At 46.3% G+C, this 22,916-nt stretch overlaps 1 long non-coding RNA gene and 1 pseudogene across 2 annotated transcripts in view, besides 2 other annotated features; both read left to right on the top strand.

The window, feature by feature from the left end:
- Positions 1–4,931, top strand: part of KRT18P55 (keratin 18 pseudogene 55) — a 31,397-nt pseudogene extending 26,466 nt beyond the window's left edge. Inside the window, exon 3 of the transcript NR_028334.1 lies at positions 3,506–4,931. The product of NR_028334.1 is annotated as a keratin 18 pseudogene 55 (transcript). The remainder of the gene's footprint in view (positions 1–3,505) is intronic.
- A 3,517-nt stretch (positions 4,932–8,448) lies between these two features.
- On the top strand, positions 8,449–17,283 carry LOC101926984 (leucine-rich repeat-containing protein 37A3). Its single transcript, XR_001752821.1, has one exon. It is a non-coding gene; the product is annotated as a leucine-rich repeat-containing protein 37A3 (long non-coding RNA).
- Positions 12,520–13,719: an enhancer, noted in NCBI's record as "BRD4-independent group 4 enhancer chr17:26594224-26595423 (GRCh37/hg19 assembly coordinates)". NCBI's record gives its function as "activates an origin of replication core promoter dependent on BRD2, P300/CBP, MED14 and CDK7 cofactors, and independent of BRD4, by STARR-seq in HCT116 cells {active_cell/tissue: HCT116}" and the evidence as "EXISTENCE:reporter gene assay evidence [ECO:0000049][PMID:35650434]".
- Positions 15,115–16,314: an enhancer, noted in NCBI's record as "CDK7 strongly-dependent group 2 enhancer chr17:26591629-26592828 (GRCh37/hg19 assembly coordinates)". NCBI's record gives its function as "activates an origin of replication core promoter dependent on BRD2, BRD4, P300/CBP, MED14 and CDK7 cofactors, with strong dependence on CDK7, by STARR-seq in HCT116 cells {active_cell/tissue: HCT116}" and the evidence as "EXISTENCE:reporter gene assay evidence [ECO:0000049][PMID:35650434]".
- Positions 17,284–22,916: the final 5,633 nt, after the last annotated feature.

Genomic DNA, 22,916 nt, shown 5'->3' with positions numbered 1-22,916 from the left:
AAGTGGGTGAAGTGAAAATGACTAGATTGTTGCCACTACTTTTAAGTAAAGTAAGAACAAACTTACGTGATGCTGTATAGGTTACACAGCATTTTCATATTTCATTTAGTTTTATAATCCTTTAAATAATTGTTATTATTAATATCCCTATTTTGTAGTTGAAGAGAGGGAAGTACCAAGGAGTTAAATGACTTGCTCAGTGTCCCCCAGCTTGTTTGTTGTAGAACTGGACCTTCAACCCAGATCTCTTAACTCCCAAACCCTGTTTCATGCTCATAGTGGTAAGAGGCAACCTGGATGCAAAGTTGATGTGTATTACAGGTTGAGGAGGGGTGAATAGTTTCATGAACTTTTAAAAAGCAGTTCCATTTTTAAATTCTTCCTAGAGCTTCTATAAACCCTTTTTAAGACAGCAACAGTGACTCTGGCTTATTTGCTACTAGTTCTCTGCTTTGTTATATTATCACCCAAGCCCACCACGGGTGGGTAAGACTACCCACCCATGCTAGAGAGGGTAGTCTATCCCATGCTAGAGAGGGTAAGACTTCTTTTTTCTTTTTCTTTCTTTTTTTATTTTTGAGACGGAGTCTCACTCTTGTTGCCCAGGCTGGAGTGCAGTAGCATGATCTCGGCTCACTGCAACCTCCGTCTCTTGCGTTCAAGCAATTCTCCTGCCTCAGCCTCCCAAGTAGCTGGGATTACAGGCACACGCCACCACGCCTGGCTAATTTTTATATTTTTAGTGGAGTCAGGGTTTCACCATGTTGGTCAGGCTGGTTATGAACTCCTGACCTCAGGTGATTCACCTGCCTTGGCCTCCCAAAGTGCTGGGATTACAGGCATGAGCCACTGTGCCTGGCAAGACTTCTTTTTTCTAATGGCCACACTCCTAACAAGTCATGCTTGTGCATCACCTGTTTCTTTTTTTTTCTTTTCTTTTTTTGAGAGATGGAGTCTCGCTCTGCCACCCAGGCTGGAGTACAGTGGCATGATCGAGGCTCACTGCAACCTTTGCCTCCCGGGTTCAAGAGATTCTCCTGCCTCATCTTCCCAAGTAGCTGGGACTACAGGCTTGCACCAGCACACCCAGCTAATTTTGTATTTTTAGTCGAGATGGGGTTTCACTGTATGTTGGCTAGGATGGTCTCGAACTCCTGACCTCAAATGATCCACCCACCTCAGCCTCCCAACGTGCTAGGATTACAGCCATGAGCCACCACGCCTGGCCTCGACTGTTTCGTATTGACTTCCAGCATGTTGTGTTGTTGGAATTCCCAGTTGAGTTTGAAACAGATTTTCCACTTGGCATATTAGTAGTTCCTATCATGCCATTCATACTTGCTTTGTTGTTTCACATTTATCTTTTCATAGCATGAAATGTAATGATTGGAATTGCATTATGGGCTACATCTTCTCTAATTGGTTCAAAGCAAATAGAGATTGGATGGGAAAAGTCAGTGGATTATGGGCCTGTACAAAAGTGCTTTGATGAACATCCATGTCATGTACATCTCCTCAATACTAAAAATACTGGGTCATAGAATGGACACATGCTTTATTCTACTAGTTATTTTAAAAATAACTAGTAGAATAGTTATTTCTACTATTTAGTAGAATAGTTATTTCTACTATTTAGTAGAATAGTTATTTCTACTATTTAGTAGAATAGTTATTTCTACTATTTAGTAGAAATAACTTTAAAAGCAGAAAGCATTTAAAGTGTTTTACCCATTTATTTTTATTTTTTATTTATTTATTTATTTTTTTGAGACAGAGTCTCACTCTGTCACTCAGGCTGGAGTGCAGTGGCGCAATCTCGGCTCACTGCAAGCTCCGCCTCCCGGGTTCATGCCATTCTCCTGTCTCAGTCTCCAGAGTAGATGGGACTACAGGCGCCTGCCACCACACCCGGCTAATTTTTTTGTATTTTTAGTAGAGATGGGGTTTCACCGTGTTAGCCAGGGTGGTCTCGATCTCCTGACCTCGTGATCCGCCCACCTCAGCCTCCCAAAGTGCTGGGATTACAGACGTAAGCCACCACGACCGGCCGTTTTACCAATTTATAATCCCACCAGCTGGGTATGAGAGTTTCAGTTTCCCTATGTCCTCAAACTTTAAAATATATGTCAGTTTGACAGGATAAATGTGATCTCATTGCTTCTCATTTGTTTTCCTGGTTGAGTGTCATTTTGTGTATTGATTGACCATTTGGGTTTTCTTTTCTGTCATTTGCCCTTTCTCCATTAAAAACAAAACAAAACAAAACAAAACAAAAAACCAAAAAAAAAAAACTTCCTGTTTGACTATTCCTATTGACTTGCAACAATTCTTTATATATTTTCTGCACATCAGTCCTTTGTTATCTGCTGCAGAGATCCTCCAGTCTGTGCTATTCATTTATTTGTTTATTTTGTGGCTTTGGTGTACAGAAGTTTTTTTTTTTTTAAATGTAGTCAGATGTATCAGTCTTTTCCTTTGTGGTTTGTGGGTTTTGTGGGGGCGGGTAGTTTTTGGGTTTTGTCTTTTTTTTTTTTTTTTTTGAGACAAATTCTTGCTCTGTTGCCCAGGCTGGAGTGCAGTGGCACCATCTTGGCTCACTGCAACCTCTGCCACCCGGGTTCAAGTGATTCTCCTGCCTCAGCCTCCCAAGTAGCTGGGATTATAGGCATGCACCACCATGCCTGGCTAATTTTTGTATTTTGAGTAGAGACAGAATTTTACCGTGTTAGTCATGGTGGCCTCAAACTCCTGACCTTAGGTGATCCGCCCGCCTCGGCCTCCCAAAGTGCTGGGATTACAGGCGTGAGCCACTGCGCCTGGTCTGGGTTTTATCCTTCTTTAGCCTGAGGTCATTTTTGCATGCCTGTATTTTCTTCAGAAAGTTTGAAATCTTTGCTTTTTCCACTTAAGTTTTAAGGGAGCTAGAGTTTGTTTTGTGTGTTACCTGAGGTGTCTTTTTGCCGTATGGATAACAACCAGAGCTGTTGGCATTTATTGTAGTCCTTTTTTTTTTTTTTTTGAGATGGAGTCTCACTCTGTTGCTTAGGCTGGAGTGCAGTGGCACAATCTCAGCTCACTGCCACCTCTGCCTCCCGGGTTCAAGCAATTCTCCTGCCTCAACCTTCTGAGTAGCTGAGACTACAGGCATGCACCACCATGCCCTGCTAATTTTTGTATTTTTCAGTAGAGACAGGGTTTCACCATATTGGACAGGCTTGTCTCAAACTCCTGACCTCATGATCCATTTACCTTGGCCTCCCAAAGTGCTGGGATTACAGGTGTGAGCCACCGTGCCTAGCCTATATTGTTGTTTCTAAACAAACAAACAAACAAACCTCATTACTATAGGGAATTAATCTGCAGTCTTCTTACTAGGTATTTATAATCCATGTGTGAGAACAATCTCAAAGGAAAAGAGAACTGTATCAGAAAATTTAGCGTAAGGTATTTATTTGGACAGCCTTTAAATGTTTATTTTCTAAAGGTAGAACATTTATTTCTACAGATTTACCTTCAGCTTTAACAAAAAATTGGCCGTCAAAACCTGAGTCCTGTCCTCTTGCTCTCCTCCCCGGACAGCATGAACTTCACCACTTGCTCCACCCTCTCCACCAACTACCAGTCCCTGGGCACTGTCCAGGCACCCAGCTATGTGCCCAGCTGGTCAGCAGTGTGGCCAGTGTCTATGCAGGCATCAGGGGCTCTGGTTCCCGGATCTCCATGTCCTGCTTCACCAGCTTCCAGGGCAGCATGGGGTCCAGGGGCCTGCCCGCAGTGATGGCCGGGGGTCTGGCAGGAATGGGAGTCATCCAGAATGAGAAGGAAACCATGCAAAGCCTCAACGACCACCTGGCCTCCTACCTGGACAGAGTTAGGAGCCTGGATACCAAGAACTGGAAGCTGGAGAGCCAGGAGCACCTGGAGAAGAAGGGACCCCAGGTCAGAGACTGGAGCCATGACTTCAAGACCATCGAGAACCTGAGGGCTCAGATCTTTGCAAATACTGTGGACAGTGCCCACATTGTTCTGCAGATCGACAATGCCTGTCTTGCTGGTGATGACTTTAGGGTCAAGTATGAGACAGAGCTGGCCATGTGCCAGTCTGTGGAGAGTGACATCCATGGGCTCCACAAGGTCATTGATGACACCAATGTCACTTGGCTGCAGCTGGAAGCAGAGATCAAGGCTCTCAAGGAGAAGCTGCTCTTCATGAAGAAGAACCATGAAGAGGAAGTAAAGGGCCTATAAGCCCAGATTGCCAGCTCTGGGTTGACTGTGGAGGTAGATGCCCCCAAATCTCATGACCTTGCCAAAATCTTGGCAGACATTGGGCCCAATATGACGAGCTGGCTCCGAAGAACTTAGAGGAGCTGGGCAAGTACTGGTCTCCGCAGATTGAGGAGAGCACCGCAGTTGTCACCACGCAGTCTGCCGAGGTTGGAGCTGCTGAGATGACGCTCACGGAGCTGAGACATACAGTCCAGTCCTTGGAGATCGACCTGGACTCCATGAGCAATCTGAAGGCCAGCTTGGAGAACAGCCTGAGGGAGGTGGAGGCCTGTTACACCCTGCGGACGGAGCAGCTCAACAGGATCCTGCTGCACTTGGAGTCAGAGCTGGCACAGACCCGGGCAGAGGGACAGCACTAGGCCCAGGAGTATGAGGCCCTGCTGAACATCAAGGTCAAGCTGGAGGCTGAGATCGCCACCTACCACCGCCTGCTGGAAGACAGTGAGGACTTCAATCTTTCAATCTTGGTGATGCCCTGGACAGCAGCAACTCCATGCAAACCATCCAAAAGACTACCACCTGCCGGATATTGGATGGCAAAGTGGTGTCTGAGACCAGTGATGCCAAAGTTCTGATACCTTAAGCCAGCAGAAGCAGGGGACCCTTTGGGGAGCAGGAGGCCAATAAAAAGTTCAGAGGTTAAAAAAAAAGAAAAAAAAAGAAAAAATATTGGCATTGTTATGGCATTAACAGCTATATATATGTACTTTTTTCAAAACAACATTTATAGCATAACTTGAATTTTCTATTTATTAGTATATACATTTTTCTTCTTTTGAAATGTGTATTTTCTAGTTTATTGGATATTGAAAACAATCTTTGATTTATCATTGTAATTTAAGTTCACTGTCTCTTTTCCAGCAATTATTCTTTTTTCTCTTTTGTGCAGTAGTAGAAAACAAAATCCAAGCAAGCATAGACCGGCAAGATATTCAGCTGTCTGGAAGTCTGGAGATTTTGTCCAGCAAGAAGCCCCCTAACAAAAGGCAGAATGCCAAACTGAGTGCTGACCTCTGACATGGCTCTGATACCCCAGGCCCATTAAGAGAGCCTTTTCTCCCAGCGGGGAGGTGATAGAATATTCTGAATTTTCTGTTGAAAAACTAAGACTATATGCAAAGAAAAATTCCCCCCAACGGGTGCAATTCTATCTGGATGATGCCGTCTCAAAATAAATAGCCTGTGAGGTTTGTGGCTTAGAAGACTTGTGACCCCATACCTCTTTGTGTCGTTTTGAAATTTTGCCTCCAGTTCTGTTTCTCTGACAAGACCCATGGCCACCTGCAGCCTAATGCTGCCATGAAGCTTTGTTCTGCTCTTTGGTTGCTGCTGGGTTCTTCTTGGATTGAAAAGAAAAATCACTTCAATCAGTCCATCTATAATGAAATACTGATCTAATGTTTGATACTCCACCATGAAATTAAAATGAAACCGCCCTTGCCACCTCCACCCCCAGCGCCTGTTTCCGAAAGTTTTATGAAGCTTCGTGGATGCTTTACCTCAAAGATGCCCTTGGGCTTCCTCCAGGAGAATGAAGAGGTCAGTGAACCTGCTTCCTGTCCCCTGTTCCCTGTCATGCATTCAGAATCAGAGAGCAGCAGATTCTGAAGTCAAGCTGCCAGAATCTCATGCGCTACCATCTCACCTTAACCACAGGCTACTTCTTTACTTTCAACATCACTGATCAAAATCAGATTTCATGGTGGGTGGGGGATAGTGGGGGGGTGGTGTAGGGAGAAGTAAGGAAATGCTGTCTTTTGTCAGTACAAAATCTGGCCCCCTCAGACTCTGCTGCCCTGAGTTAAATTTAATCTCTCTTTCCATCAATTCCAGTCAGGTTGAGCAGTTAAAGTATGATGTCTATCAACTGCAGACTGCTCTCAGAAACTTCCAGCACCAGTGCTATGCAAGGGAGCAGCAGGAGAGACAGCGAGAAGAGCTTCTGTCTCGAACCTTCACTGCTAACATAAGCCAGGCTTGCGGTGGGGGTCGGCCTGCACTTGACAGATTGTGGGGGCTGGAGTTCAGATCTCTGAGCGTCATCTTTTTTAGGGGGTATCTGAAAAAGATTGATGAGGAGGAAACCAACCCTAAATGACAGGGACTTTGTGCATTGCCACAGAGACTAGACCTAGACAGAAGAATCTCTTTTTCTAACACAAAAACCTGAAGAAGAAGCAGTTAAATTGAAGGGGAATAGGCAGAAGTGAAAATAACCTGGTTGGACTGGTCTGAGACAGAAAGGTGGAAATTCACATGGTGGAAACGTTTTTCTGATCAGATAGAGACAGATGGTTAGAATTTAGGCCATTTGTAGAGAAGGCAGCATTTCAAAGCTGCCTGCGCAGTTGCCATTGTGCCGAGTTTGTGTGTGGTTCCGGTGTCAGGTGCATTAAAATGTTTTTGTCCCTAGTCTGAGCAGCGATTTGAAGGAATTTGTTAATAGATATTTAGGGTTAGATGGACTGCTTGCCTGAGTGTGTCCGAAAGTGTGTTGGTTTCCACATTTGATTTCTCAGAACCCATTGTCCCCGTCTTTTAGTCTTAACCAGACCATTTCCTGAACGTGGCTGTAGAACATATTGGCCTTTTCTGTGTCATGCATAATATATTCCACCAAGTGTAGTGTGCTTTGGCTTTTTGTGTGTTTTTTTTTAGAGGTTTATTTTCCAGAGATGTTAACTTTCTAAGCCTGTTGTTAGAATTCACATCATTTCCCACTTTGCAGATGTTTAATCCTCAGTGCTTCATCCTTGCTTTGCAATACATTTCCCCAAGTGTTTCAAAATGTGCCTATGTAGTTTTTGCTTCTCCAGAGTAAAAAATCAAGTCACAGTGGTTTTTTGTTTGTTTGTTTTTGTTTTTTGAGACAGAGTCTCGCTCTGTCACCCAGGCTGGAGTGCAATGGTGCGATCTCAGCTCACTGCAACCTCTGCCTCCTTGGTTCAAGTGATTCTCCTGCCTCAGCCTCCCTAGTAGCTGGGATTACAGGTGCCTGCCACCAGGCCCGGATAATTTTTGTATTTTTAGTAGAGACAGCATTTCCCCATGTTGGCAAGGCTGGTCTCAAGCTTCTGACCTCAGGTGATCTGCTCGCCTCGCCCTCCCAAAGTACTGGGATTACAGGCATGAGCCACCACGCCTGGCCAAGTCACAGTGTTTAACAATTCAAAAATTTAATGAACTATAAGACACACTAAAAGATGATGTTTGGATTTTAGATTGTTACAATTATGATTCAAGTCTTTTTTCTGTGAAGGATGATCACTCAGGATTATTTTGTTTCTTGCCAGCCTGGTGTGATGCTGGGCATACAGTGGGTTCTTAATAAACACTGACTTGCAAGATGAAATTTCTTCCTGGTCATTCTACCATCTGGAGCTATAATACATTTTTCTGAGAGATAATGGACCATCAGCCATACCTTTTGAGATGGCAGGGTAAGAAAGATTTGTATATAAATGGAGTTCTGTAAGTGCTTGGCAAATTCCTGAGAGAAGTCTCTGAGTCTTTCAAACACTAGCATCTTTTGATGCACTGAGCATTAGCTGCATGTTTGTTGGTGTGCTCTCAGGGTTCAAACCAACACAAGAGCCTTACAGTGCCCAAGGTGGTTGGGGTACAGCTTGGTTTTATATATTTCAGGGAGGCATGAGGCATCAATCGAATACATGAAGAAATACAATGGTTTGGTTCAGAAAGGCGGGACAACTCAAAGTGGGGGCTTCCAGGCTATAGTTAAATTTAAATATTTTCTGGTTGACAATTGGTTGAGTTTATCCGAAGACCTGGGATCAATGGAAAGGAATGTTCAGGTTAAGATAAAGGATTGTGGAGACCATGTTTTGTTGTGCAGACGAATCTCTCAGCAGAGTTCAGGGGGAAAGTAGGTTATAAAATGTTTCTTATTGGACCTAAAAGGGTGCCTGGCTTATAGTTTATTCTCTCCTGGATCTGGAAAAAAAGGAAGGAAAACAAAGAGGAAAGGGGATTGATTCTCTATAGAATGTGGATTTTTCCCACTTGAGATTTGGCAGGGCAATTTCAAGGTATGGCAAGGAAATATATTGTGGGTTAAATATTTTTTCCTTGTGCCAGAATTACATTGAAAAGTAAGTCATGATATATAGGGTCAAATAAAACCCATCTCGTGAGAATTTATGGTTTGTAGGGCATGACTCCCTAGACCCCTTAGGTAGGAATTTGGGCAAAATAAAAAATCAGAGCTTAGTCATCAACTGTATCCGGGCAGCCTGCCTTCAGAAGTCCAGATGAACTCAGATGAGCAAGCTGGACTTTCTCAATTCCTTCTAGAGCCTGAAACTCAAAACCCAGAGACCCTTGAAGAGATCCAGTCCTCTTAGCACCAGCAAGAAGCCCCAGCACAGCTTCCACAGCTCCCTGAGGAGGTAGAACCTTCTTTAACCCAGCAGGAGTCCCCAGCTCTGCCTTCACAGTCCCTTGAGGGGGTCGCTCTTCTTCAACAGAGCAGGAGTCCCCAGCACAGCAGCTACCTCCCTCTGAAGAAATTGTAGCTCAGCCATCAATACATCATGAGGTAAATGTCCCATTTAAAAGTTGGAGTGAAGCTCAGCACTCACACTTGCCCAATGTCAAGCCAGGAACAGGCTGCCTCTCTGCCTCCAGAGCACCCCAAGGAGGTCAACTCTTCCTCAGCCCAATTAAAGGCCCCAGCTCAGACAACAGAGTTCCCTGAGGAGATGAAACCTTCTGCAACTCAGCAAGGGACTCCAGCTGAGCCTCCAGGTCCTCCTGTGGAGGTTGAACCTTCCCCCAGTGAGCAGGAGCAGCCAGTTCAGCCTTGTGAGTTTCCTAGGGGAGTTGAACCTTCTCAGACCCAGCAGGAGGCCCCAGCTCAGCTCCAGAGTCTATGGAGGGTGCAGTTCAAACTCCACTGAATCATGAGGTGACAGTCCAACTTCCAGGCGAGGATCAAGCTCATTATAACTTGCCCAATGTTACAGTTAAACCTGCGGATGTGGATATTGCCATAACTTCAGAGTCTGCCAAGAAGACTGAATCTTCTCCAGCCCAGCAGGAGGCCCCAACCCAGTCTCCAGAGGAGGTGGAAACTTCTGCAACCCAAGAGGAGGCCACAACTGATCCTCCAGGTCCTCCTGTGGAGGCTGACCCTTCCCGCAGTGAGCAGGAACAGCCAGCTTAGCCCTCTGAGTCTTCTGGGGAGGTTGAATCTTCTCCAGCCAAGAAGGAGACCCCAGCTCAGCCTCCAGAACATTATGAAGTTACAGTTTCACCTCCAGGTCACCATCAAGCTCAGCATTCCGGTTTGCCCAATGTCACTGTTAAGCCTCCAGATATGCAGCTCACCATAGCAACAGAGCCTACTGCAGAGGTGGGAACTTCTCCAGTCTACCAAGAGGGTACAGCTCAGCTCTCAGGGCCAGTTAATGATGTAGAACCTTCTGCCACCCAGCATGGGGGCCCACCTCTGCCTCCAGAGTCATTGGAAGAGGCTGGGCCTTTACCAGTTCAACAGGAGACTTCAGTTCAGTCTCCAGAACCTATTAAGGATCAGAACCCCTCTGCAGCCCAGCAGGAGGCTGAGCATCCACAGACCCCTGAGGAGGTTGAGTCTTCTCTAACCCAGCAGGAGGCCCCAGCTCAGACTCCAGAGCTCCTTAATGAAGTTGTAGCTCAATCTCCAGAGCATCATGAGGTAACAGTTTCTCCTCTAAGTCATGATCAAGTTCAGCCTCCAACATTGTACAATGTCACTGTTAAACCTGTGGATCACATGGTTACCATGACTCCAGATTTCACTAATCAGGTTGAAATTTTAACCCAACAGGGGGACCCAGGTCAGCCCTTAGTGTCCCCTGAGCAGTTTCAACATTTGAAACACCAGCAAGAGATTATAGTTCAGCAGCTAAATATCCCGAAAATGATGAACTTCCTCCAGTCCATCAAGAGCCCACAACTCAGCTTCCAGTCGAGCTCTCTTCAGACTTTGAAAGTTCATTGAATGATGGGATGATATTTTCACCTCTAGATCTGTCTTCAATATTCAGAAGTAATTCAACTTTGCCTAATACCACAGTTAAAAATGTGGATATGGAGCTTCCCATACCTTCAGCAGTCACTATGGAGGTTGAACCTTCTCCAGTCCAGCAAGACAACCCTCCTATTCCCACTGAGCAGGCTGACTTTTCTCTAGCCCAGCCTGATCTGCCTTCCCCACCTCTGCATTCTCCTGAAAAGATTGAACCTCCAGTCCAGTAAGAGGCCACAGCTCAGACTCCAGATACCCCTAAGAAGGTAGAACCTTCTCCAGTCCAGCAAGAGTTCAAGCTGAGTCACCAGAGGCCCCTAAGGAGGTTGAACCATGTGCAACCCAGCAGGAAGCCTCAGGTCATCCTCCAAAGTCCACTGAAGAGGTCACTCCTCCACCGCAGCAGGAGATATCAGCTCAGCCATCAGAGCCACCTAAGAAGGTCGAACCATCTCCAGTCCTACAGCAGCCCCCAACTCAGCTTTTAGAGCCAACTAAAGAGGTAGAATCCTCTCCAGTCTAGCAGGCAGGCCCTGCTCAGTCTTCAGAGCCCCCTATGGTGACAGAACCCTCTCTGACCCAGCAGATAGCCCCATCTTTGCCTCCAGAGTTCCCTCAGGAGGTTGGACCATAACTAACTCAGCAGGAGGTTCCAGCTCAGATTCCAGAGCCCTCTATGGAGGCAGAACCTTCTCCAACCCAGCAGGAGGCCACAGTTCAGGTTCCAGAGCCCCCTAAGGACATAGAACTTTCAAGCCAGCAGATGGTCCCACTTCAGCTTCCATAGCCACTTAAGGAGGTTGCAGCTCAACATCCAGCTCACTATGAGGTGACAGTTCCAACACAAGGGCAGGATCAAGCTCAGCACTCAATATTAGCCAGTTTCACAGTTCAACCTTTGGATCTGGGGCTTACCATCACTCCAGAATCCATGACAGACGTTGAACTTTCTCCAACCATGCAGGAGACCCCAACTCAGCCTCCTAAGAAAGTTGTACCCCAACTTCCAGCATATCAAGAGGTAACAGCCGCAACACCAGGTCAGGATCAAGCTCAGCATTCAATGTCACCCAGCATTACAGTTCAACCTATGCACCTGGGAGTTACCATAAGCCCAGAATCCAGTACAGAGGTTGAACATCCTACACCCTTGAAGAAGACTATAGTTCCTCCAAACCACCCTAAGGTGACACTTCCACATCCAGGCCATGTTCAGACTCAGCATTCAAACCTGACTCAAGCCACAGTTCAACCTTTGGATCAGGGGCTTACCATCACTCCAGAATCCACTACAGAGGTTGAACCTTCTACAGCTCTGACGACTACATTTTCTTCTCCAAAACATCCTGAGGTGAGACTTCTACCTTCAGACAAGGGTCAGACTCAACTCACAATTCAACCTTTAGATCGGGGGCTTACCATCACGCCTGAATCCACTACAAAGGTTGAACCTTCTACAGCCCTGACGACTACAGCTCCAGCTCCAAAATGCCGTGAGGTGACATTTCCACCTCCAGACAAAGGTCAGGCTCAGCATTCAAGCCTGACTCAACTCACAATTCCATCCCTTACCATAACTACAGAGCCTACTAGAGGTTAAACTGTCTGCAACCATGGAGGAGACCTCATATGCCTGATGATCTGCAGTCTGATCTTCATCTACATTTTGACCCTTACTTTTGAGGTGAAAAGCTAAGCTAGGGCCTGGTTCTGGTCCCAGTCTAGCATTGGAACCACTTCTAGGAACGTTTCTTGCTGAGTCAGCTTGTCATACAGATCATGATCTGCATTTTGAACCTACTTTTGTGGTGAAAAGCTCAGGTAGGGCCTGGTTCTGGTCCCAGTCTAGCATTGGAAACACTTCTAGGAACGTTTCTTGCTGAGTCAGCTTGTCATACAGATCCTGGTCTACATTTTGAACCTTACTTTTGAGGTGAAAAGTGAAAGGCAATGGAAGGGTGCCACGGACAAAAACGGTCGAGAGGCAGTGCAAAGAAGGCAAAAGTTCCTTTATTAAGCTCTCAGGCGAGGTTCACTGGTCCGCAGGGGAGGGCCAGGGAAGTCGCATTGTGTTGGAGGTGCAGCACGCTTATCTGGACACTAGGTGAGGTAGGGGCGGAGTTGGGGTGGGGCAAGGGAGGAGTTAGTTAGGTTTCGTTTTCCTGAGTGTGACGCGCCTTAGTGGGCACGTGTGCTAGCCGGGATGGCAGGAACCGGGGGAAGATGAACCCGGAAATGCTGAGTCAGGGTGGCCTAGATGGTTGCCTGTCGCCATCTTGGGACCTTCAACGGAGTCCAAACAAAAAGCTAAGCTAGGGCCTGGTTCTGGTCCCAATCTAGCATTGGAACCACTTCTAGGAATGTTTCTTGCTGAGTCAGCTTGTCATATAGATCCTGGTCTACATTTTGAACCTTACTTTTGAGGTGAAAAACTAAGCTAGGGCCTGGTTCTGGTCCCAGTCTAGCATTAGAACCACTTCTAGGAACGTTTCTTGCTGAGTCAGCTTGTCATATACATCTTGATCTACATTTTGAACCTACTTTTGAGGTGAAAAGCTAAGCTAGGGCATGGTTCTGGTCCCAGTCTAGCATTGGAACCACTTCTAGGAACGTTTCTTCCTGAGTCAGCCTGTCATACAAATCCTGGTCTATATTTTGAACCTTACTTTTGAGGTGAAAAGTGAAAGGCAATGGAAGGGTGCCGCGGACAAAAAGCGTCAAGAGGCAGGGCAAAGAAGGCAAAAGTTCCTTTATTAAGTTCTCGGGCGAGGTTCACTGGTCCGCAGGGGAGGGCCAGAGAAGTCGCACTGTGTTGGAGGTGCAGCACGCTTATATGGACACTAGGTGAGGTAGGGGCAGAGTCGGGGTGGGTCAAGGGCGGAATTAGTTAGGTTTCGTTTTCCTGAGTGTGACACGCCTTAGTGGGCACACATGCTAGCCCGGATGGCGGGAACCGGGGGAAGATGAACCCGGAAATGCTGAGTCAGGGTGGCCAAGATGGTTGCCTGTCGCCATCTTGGGGCCTTCACCGGAGTCCAAACAAAAAGCTAAGCTAGGGCCTGGTTCTGCTCCCAGTCTAGCATTGGAACCACTTCTAGGAACGTTTCTTGCTGAGTCAGCTTGTCATACAGATCCTGGTCTACATTTTGAACCTTACTTTTGAGGTGAAAAGCTGAGGTAGGGCCTGGCTCTGGTCCCAGTCTAGCATTGGAACCACTTCTAGGAATGTTTCTTGCTGAGTCAGCTTGTCGTACAGATCCTGATCTACATTTTGAACCTTACTTTTGAGGTGAAAAGTGAAAGGCAATGGAAGAGTGCCTCGGACAAAAAGGGTCGAGAGGCAGGGCAAAGAAGGCAAAGTTTCCTTTATTAAGCCCTCGGGCAAGGTTCACTTGTCCGCAGGGGAGGGCCAGGGAAGTCGCACTGTGTTGTAGTTGCAGCACGCTTATATGGACACTAGGTGATGTAGGGGCGGAGTCGGGGTGGGGCAAGGGCGGCGTTAGTTAGGTTTCGTTTTCCTGAGAGTGACGCGCCTTAGTGGGCACGCGTGCTAGCCGGGATGGCGGGAATGGGGGGAAGATGAACCCGGAAATGCTGAGTCAGGGTGGCCAAGATGGTTGCCTGTCGCCATCTTGGGGCCTTCACCGGAGTCCAAACAAAAAGCTAAGCTAGGGCCTGGTTCTGCTCCCAGTCTAGCTTTGGAACCACTTCTAGGAACGTTTCTTGCTGAGTCAGCTTGTCATACAGATCCTGGTCTACATTTTGAACTTTACTTTTGAGGGGAAAACCTAAGCTAGGGCCTGGTTCTGGTCCCGTTCTAGCATTGGAACCACTTCTAGGAACGTTTCTTGCTGAGTCAGCTTGTCATACAGATCCTGATCTACATTTTGAACCTACTTTTGAGGTGAAAAGCTTAGCTAGGACCTGGTTCTGGTCCCAGTCTAGCGTTGGAACCACTTCTAGGAACGTTTCTTGCTGAGTCAGCTTGTCATACAGATCCTGGTCCACATTTTGAACCTTACTTTTGAGGTGAAAAGTGAAAGGCAATGGAAGGGTGCCGCGGACAAAAAGGGTCGAGAGGCAGGGCAAAGAAGGCAAAAGTTCCTTTATTAAGCTCTCGGGCGAGGTTCACTGGTCCGCAGGGTAGGGCCAGGGAAGTCGCACTGTGTTGGAGGTGCAGCTCGCTTATATGGACACTAGGTGAGGTGAGGGCGGAGTCGGGGTGGGGCAAGGGCGGAGTTAGTTAGGTTTCCTTTTCCTGAGTGTGACGCGCCTTAGTGGGCACACGTGCTAGCCGGGATGGTGGGAACGGGGGGAAGATGAACCCAGAAATGCTGAGTCAGGGTGGCCAAGATGGTTGCCTGTCGCCATCTTGGGGCCTTCACCAGAGTCCAAACAAAAAGCTAAGCTAGGGCCTGGTTCTGCTCCCAGTCTAGCATTGGAACCACTTCTAGGAACGTTTCTTGCTGAGTCAGCTTGTCATACAGATCCTGGTCTACATTTTGAACCTTACTTTTGAGGTGAAAAGCTCAGCTAGGTCCTGGCTCTGGTCCCAGTCTAGCATTGGAACCACTTCTAGGAACGTTTCTTGCTGAGTCAGCTTGTCATACAGATTCTGGTCTACATTTAGAACCTTGCTTTTGAGGTGAAAAGTGAAAGGCAATGGAAGGGTTCCATAGACAAAAAGGGTCGAGAGGCAGGGCAAAGAATGCAAAAGTTCCTTTATTAAGCTCTTGGACGAGGTTCACTGGTCCGCAGGGGAGGGCCGGGGAAGTCGCACTGTGTTGGAGGTGCAGCAGGCTTATATGGACACTAGGTGAGTTAGGGGCGGATTCGGGGTGGGGCAAGGGCGGAGTTAGTTAGGTTTTATTTTCCTGAGTGTGACACGCCTTAGCGGGCTCACGTTCTTGCCGGGATGGCGGGAACGGGGGGAAGATGAACCCGCTAATGCTGAGTCAGGGTGGCCAAGATGGTTGCCTGTCGCCATCTTGGGGCCTTCACCGGAGTCCAAACAAAAAGCTAAGCTAGGGCCTGGTTCTGGTCCCTGTCTAGCATTGGAACCACTTCTAGGAACGTTTCTTGCTGAGTCAGCTTGTCATACAGATCCTGGTCTACATTTTCAACCTACTTTTGAGGTGAAAAGCTAAGCTAGGGCCTGGTTCTGGTCCTAGTCTTGCATTGGAACCACTTCTAGGAACGTTTCTTGCTGAGTCAGCTTGTCATACAGATCCTGATGTGCAGCAGCAAATTGCTCTGGCTCCGGGGGCAGGTCTCCAGCTGAATGTGTGCCTACGAATGGAATCAAAGTCTCATCAAAATCTCAGTCAGTTCCTGAGGCAGAAGAGATGGGTGTGTCTTATCCAAGATTTCTCTGGCTCCAGGGGCAGGTCTCCAGCTGAATCTGTGCCTACAAATGGAATCAAAGTCTCATCAAAGTCTCAGTCAGTTCCTGAGGCAGAAGAGATGGGTGTGTCTTATCCAAGATTTCTCTGGCTCCAGGGGCAGGTCTCCAGCTGAATCTGTGCCTACGAATGCAATCAAAGTCTCATCAAAGTCTCAGTTCCTGAGGCAGAAGAGATGGGTGTGTCTTATCCAAGATTTCTCTGGCTCCAGGGGCAGGTCTCCAATGCAAACAAAGTCTCATCAAAGTCTCAGTTCCTGAGGCAGAAGAGATGGGTGTGTCTTATCCAAGATTTCTCTGGCTCCAGGGGCAGGTCTCCAGCTGAATCTGTGCCTACAAATGGAATCAAAGTCTCATCAAAGTCTCAGTCAGTTCCTGAGGCAGAAGAGGTGGGTGTGTCTTATCCAAGATTTCTCTTATGGAACAAAGTTACATCAAAGCCAATTTAAAAGCCTATGTAAAAAAAATTATTATTATTGATGCAATGTATACAAATATATAGACCAATATAATAAGTTTACTATTCCTACCATGATTTGTCTTTAGTAAAATGGGAAACTGGAGAAAAACTTATGTTTCCAAATGATTATATATCTGTGTTAGATTCTAGTCTTGCCTAATTTTTTTTCAATTTGGATTACTTTCTACAGTTTGGACCAAATTCTAATTTTTTTTTATTACAAGTCTCCAAAATAATTTTTAAATTTTTTTTTCCTTCTTTTTTCCATTTTTCCTAATTTGGAGTCACTGAAAACTAAGCTGTGCTTTCTTAAAATCCTGTGAACTGAAGCCAGACAACTTAAACTTCAGAAGAAAATAACAGCAACCTATTTACATACATAAACCACTTTCATACCTGCCTACTGATGCATAGACTTCAGAGTAATGAGGCCTATATCAAATGTTTCCCGGATTGTTCTTTTGTTTGTTGTTGTTTTCTCTCTCTTCCTCCCACTATTTTCTCTTCGCAGGACATGAGACTTAACAACCTGCTAAAAATGAGCTTTTGGGACCTACCCATCAAGGAATAAACTGTCCTCGCCATGAGAGATCAAATGAAACCTGAGACCAGAGACTCATTTTCTTGTAAAATGCTTTCTCCAACAGATTTTTAAAAAGAAAAGGGGGGAAATGTGAAAGGAAAATATCTGTGGTCCCCAAAATCACGAAGGAAAACTCAAGCCGGGAACTGCTTAGGGCAAACCTGCCTCCCATTCTATTCAAAGTCACTCCTTTGCCCAATCAGATAGATGCTTATCTGATTTGCCTCCTTTGGAAAGGCTGATCAGAAACTCAAAAGAATGGAACCATTTGTGTAACAGCCATCTGTGACCTGGAAGCTTCCTTCCCACTTCAGTCTTCCTGCCTTTGCTTCAAGTTGTCCTGTCTTTCCAGATGAAGCAATGTACTTCTTAACATATATTGACTGATGTCTCATGATGTCTCCCTAAATGTATGAAACCAAGCTGTGCCTGACAACCTTGGACATATTTTGTCAAGACTTCCCTGAGGCTGTCATTGGTGCATCCTCAACCTTGGCAAAATAAACTTTCTAAATTAACTGAGACCTGTCTCAAGTTTAGGGGGTTCACAGTGGGGGGGGCAATTCAGTCTGGGAGAGAAGGCTTTAATCCGAGTGAAGAGCCCTTTGCACTACTAGCCTGCGAGGAGGCTGAACTGTCTTCCTGCCTTGACTTAACACAGCCGTTACCATAGAAATTACAGCGCCACTCTTCAGAGGTCTACCCTGTGTGCACACATGGACAAGAGGTTTAGGTTGTTAAAGTCAGCATATTAAACAATTTCCTGAAATGCGGCTGTAACTAGAACCCAGCTGACTTCCCCCACTGCCATTCTTACCTATTTTATTGCTCATTGTCTGGCACAATCAATAGCATGTGAACGCCAAGCAGGTGCTTCATCTTATTCCAGTGCCTAGAATAGGCATATGTTGCAGATTAATGGTTTTAAATGGAAGGGATTCCAAGACTCACTTCATCAAGGGGTAGATCTACTGTTATAATCAGATTTCTGAAATCAGTGCTGACTTCCTCTCACATTTCATGGGAAGCTAGATTTCTTAAAGGTTAAAGTTTCCTTGATGGGTTTTATTTAAATTGAATTAAAATAATTATTTTACAGAGAAAAACCTCGAAACACTTTGCAACTTTGGGGTGAAAGTTAAATAAAACATGCTAGCCCCAAATTAAGTTCCCACTGAAATGAATGTTTTAAAAAAAATTCTGGCCGGGCATGGTGGCTCACTCCTGCAATCCTAGCACTTTGGGAGACTGAGGTGGGCAGATCACATGAGGTCAGGAGTTTGAGACCAGCCTGGCTAACATGATGAAACCCCGTTTCTACTAAAAATACAAAAAATTAGCTGGGTGGATATTGCGGGAACCAGCCCCCAATATTTCAACGTAGGTTCTTTTCTATTTTCCCTAAGTGTCAGCCGGTCTGAGAAATAAAGGGAAGGAGTACAAAAGAGAGAAATTTTAAAGCTGGATGTCCGGGGGAGACATCACATGTCGGCGGGTTCTGTGATGCCGCCCAAGCTGCAAAACCAGCGAGTTTTTATTATGGATTTCAAAAGGGAGGGAGTGTATGAATAGGGTGTGGGTCACAGAAATCACATGCTTCACAAGGCAATAAGATATCACAAGGCAAATGGGGGCAGAGCAAGATCACAGGACCAGGGTGAAATTAAAATTGCTAATGAAGTTTCATGTCCCACTGGGCACACATTGTCATTGATAACATCTTATCAGGAGACAGCGTTTGAGAGCAGACAACTAGTCTGACTAAAATTTAGTAGGCAGGAATTTCCTTATCCTAATAGGCCTGGGGGTGCTAGGGGAGACCGGGGCATATTTCATCCCTTATCACAACTGTATAAGACAGACATTCCCAGAGCGGCCATTTTAGAGACCTCCCCCTAGGAATGCATTCTCTTTTCTCAGGGCTGTTCCTTGCTGAGAAAAAGAATTCAGCAATATTTCTCTTATTTGCTTTTGTAAGAAGAGAAATATGACTCTGTTCCGCCTGGCTCCCAGGCAGTCAGATCTAATGGTTATCTCCCTTGTTCCCTGAACATCGCTGTTATCCTGTTCTTTCTTCAAGGTACTCAGACTTCATATTGTTTAAATGCACATGCTTTACGAACAATTTATGCAGTTAACGAAACCATCACAGGGTCCTGAGGCGACAGGCATCCTCAACTTATGAAGATGATGGGATTAAGAGATTAAAGACAGGCACAGGAAATCACAAGAGTATTGATTGGGGGAGTGATAAATGTCCATGAAGTTTTCACAATTTATGTTCAGAGACTGTAGTAAAGACAGGCATAAGAAATTGTAAAAGTATTAATTTGGGGAACTAATAAATGTCCATGAAATCTTCACAATTTATGTTCTTCTGTCACGGCTTCAGCAGGTCCCTCCATTCGGGGGGTCCCTGACTTCCCACAACAAGCATGGTGGCAGGTGCCTGTAATCACAGCTATGGGAGGCTGAGGCAGAAGAATTGCTTGAACCCGGGAGGCAGAAGTTGCAGTGAGCCAAGATCCTGCCATTGCACTCCAGCTTTGACAACAAGAGTGAAACTCCATCTCAAAAAAAAAATGTCCATATGCAGTAAATAATGACTTTTTTCTTTTAGAGATTTAGAAACTTAATCCCTATTTAAGAGCTTTCATATACAGTCATGCATTGCTTGCCATATGAGGAGGAGCTTGAGAAATGTGTCATTAGGTGATGTCACCTTGTGCTAACATCATAGCGTATACTTACACAAACCCAGGTGGTATAGCCCACAGCACACCTAGGCTATGTGGTATGGCCTACAGCTCCTAAGCTACGAACTGTACTATATGTTACTGCTGTTAGGTTTTGAAGGGAAGGTGAGGGCTAAAGAAAGACACAGAAAGAGGGCAGCTTAACAGCAAATGCAGGCTTTACATCCAGCATAAAACCTACAAAAGACCAGCCTAATGCCAGAGCCTACACTGCTTACAGGCTGGGGCAATTTATAGGTATGGGTGGGAGTGGCCTGGGCAGTATGGCTTGCTGCCCGGCAGGATATTGATGAGATATTCGTTCCCACGATGTGGCTGTTCTGGCCCTTGTTCCAGCAGGATGTCATCATGGTGTTCCTTGGATCTTTGTCCAGCAAGACATGATAGGGATATTTCTTTAGTTGGGCCTTTGTCCACCTTGTGGTCAGGTGGTTAGGCAAGATGTTTCTCACAGCACAAACCCCTGTGAAATGTTTCACTTTGACCAAGATCTGCAAAATAGCAGGGAGCTTACAACATGGTGCAGTTTGGACTAACATTCTTGCCTTTTACTTTAAAAGGAAGAGGGGCATTGTTGACTGTCTGGCTGCTTCTTGCTGAATAGGGCGCTGTACTCAGGTTTGTGTTTTGAAGCAGTGGGTGTTTGACTTCACAATTGTTTTCTTTCTTTTTTTTTTTTTTTTTTTTTTTAGATGGAGTCTTGCCCTTGTTGCCCAGGCTGGAATGTAATGACACAATCTCGGCTCACTGCAACATCCGCCTCCTGGGTTCAAGCAATTCTCCAGCCTCCAGCCTGTAGGCACCTACCACCATGCCTGGCAAATTTTTGTATTTTTAGTAGAGACAGGGTTTCACCATGTTGGCCAGGCTGGTCTTGAACTCCTGACCTCAGGTGATCTGCCCACCTTGGCCTCCCAAAGTGCTGGGATTACAGGCGTGAGCCAGCACACCCTACCCAGAGCTGTTTTCCTTGAGGCACTGATATTGGACTTGGCAGAAGAGAATGATGGTATTAATGTGTTTCTGGGTGTTGCCTGGACAAGGGAGTTCAGCCTTTGGAAGAGAAAGTGGGATAGGAAGTGAGTACACATGGGCCAATTGTTAGTATTATGAGGAGGAAAATTTGGGGTCCTAAGAAAGGGCCAACCAGCTATCCTGGTGCTGAGTGTAGCAGAGATGTTTTGCCCCTGCTAAAGAGAATGAAGTGTACAGCCCGCCTGGTGTGTGTGGAGAAGGAGGAAACAGGGACTACTAAAGGAACCTGAATAGTTTGGTTGTTAGGCAAAATGTTAATGTTTGGAGATTGAAACACCAGGGTGCATGTTCCTGGCCAATTGGCCAGTAGGCAGCGATAAGAGTTTGTACTGCAAAGGAAGAAGATCACAGGTGCACACCACCACGCCCGGTTAATTATTACATTTTTTTTATAGAGACGAGGTTCCCTAAGCCCCCCAAGGGCAGCCTAGGGAATTCTGGCACTCTCCAGATGTCAGAGGTCATAATCAAGGATGACGCCTTTAGTTAGACAAACCAACTTTGAGCCTTCACTCCACACTATAGGGGAGTCCCAGACAAGAACACAGCTTGGGCTGGGCACAGTGGCTCACACCTGTAATCCCAGCACTTTGGGAGGCCGAGGTGGGCAGATCACTTGAGGTCAGGAGTTTGAGACCAGCCTGGCCAACAAAGTGAAACCCCATCTCTACTAAAAATACAAAAATCAGCTGGGCATGGTGGCAGGGACCTGTAGTCCTAGCTACTTGGGAGGCTGAGGCAGGAGAATTGCTTGAACCTGGGAAGCGGAAGTTGCAGTGAGCTGAGGTCACGCCACTGCACTCCAGCCTGGACCACACAGCAAGACTCTGTCTCAAAAATAATAATAATAATAATAATTAATAATAATATGCAGCCACAAAAAAGAATGAGTTCATGTCCTTTGCAGGGACATGGATGAAGCTGGAAACCATCATTCTCAGCAAACTAACACCAGAACAGAAAACCAAACACCACATGTTCTCATAAGTGGGAGTTGAACAATGAGAACACAAGGACACAGGGAGGGTAACATCACACACTGGGGCTTGTCGGGAGGTGGGGGACAAGGGGAGGGAGAGCAGTAGGACAAATACCTAATGCATGCAGCTTAGCTTAAAACCTAGATCACGGGTTGATGGGTGCAGCAAACCATCATGGCACATGTGTACCTATATAACAAACCTGCATGTTCTGCACATGTATCCCAGAACTTAAGTAAAATAATAATAATGTGTTATATATCATATGTCATATGATATGAATGTAGCTATAATGACAATAATAGCTATTAAAATGGCATTTGAGGCAGGTCTTGAAGGATATGCAGCCTCATTGGCCAAAATTTCCATCACTCCCTGCTTGTTCTCCCCTCTGTCAGTCAATCAGCTGCTACCAGGGAGGTCTAGTTTCTGAAACACGGGAACTGTGTGAGCAGAAGGGTGAGGAGGAGGGCGTTTGAAGGCGAGGTAGCTCTGCAGCCCCCAAGCTGCCCTCCACACTGGAAACCAGTCAAGGCGTGGCCTCCTCAGCTGGGCTTGACATCCTGTTCTGCTCTGGACCTGCCAAGGGTCAAGCTCTGAGGGTTTCCTGCCAGGCTGCAGGGAGGGGTTTGGGTGTAGAACTGGTGGACTGGAAATGAACCGATTTGCCCCCAGATTAATGATTAACAGGTTACTACCCTCACCGTGTCTGGGAGAGGAGCCCAACTCCAGGCTGGGCCAGGGGGAGCCCAATAGCACCTACCTCTGCTTGGGGGTTTCGGAGATATGCTCCATGATGGGACTGGAATCTACGGGTGATTTCTGAGGGTACCTGGGGCCTGGCCAGGCTGCATAACCTCTGGTGAGGCTTCTGACTTCTGGGGCATACAGAGAGGGTGTGGCATCCAGCCAGACATCCTGGCTAAGGCAGGTGGCTTCAAACAGGAGAGCTGTGCCCTTGGCTCAGAGGGATGTGGGCCTCTCTAACCACTCCTGGCTTGACCACAGGACTTGCCTTGGCCAGTGGCACCTGAGCAACAGTGGCAAGTGCCACATCCAAGCAGGAGCTCTAAGAGCTATCCCCTGCTTCCACCTTTGCTTTGCTCTTTTTTTTTTGGATACAGGGTCTCACTTTGTTGCTCAGGCTGGAGTGCAGTGACGCGATCTCAGCTCACTGCAGCCTCTGCCTCTCAGGCTCAAGCTATCCTCCCATCTCAGCCTCCCAAGTAGCTGGGACTACAGGCTTGTGCCATCATGCACTGCTAATTTTTGTATTTTTAGTAGAGATGGGGTTTCATTATGTCACCCAGGATGGTCTCAAACTTCTGGACTCAAGAAATTCACCTGCCTTGGCCACCCAAAGTGCTGGGATTACAGGCG

Source organism: Homo sapiens, chromosome 17, assembly GCF_000001405.40.
Source record: "Homo sapiens chromosome 17, GRCh38.p14 Primary Assembly".
NCBI lineage: Eukaryota > Metazoa > Chordata > Mammalia > Primates > Hominidae > Homo > Homo sapiens.
The sequence above is the reverse complement of the archived record's forward strand: the minus strand, read 5'-3'. Positions and strand labels throughout refer to the sequence as shown.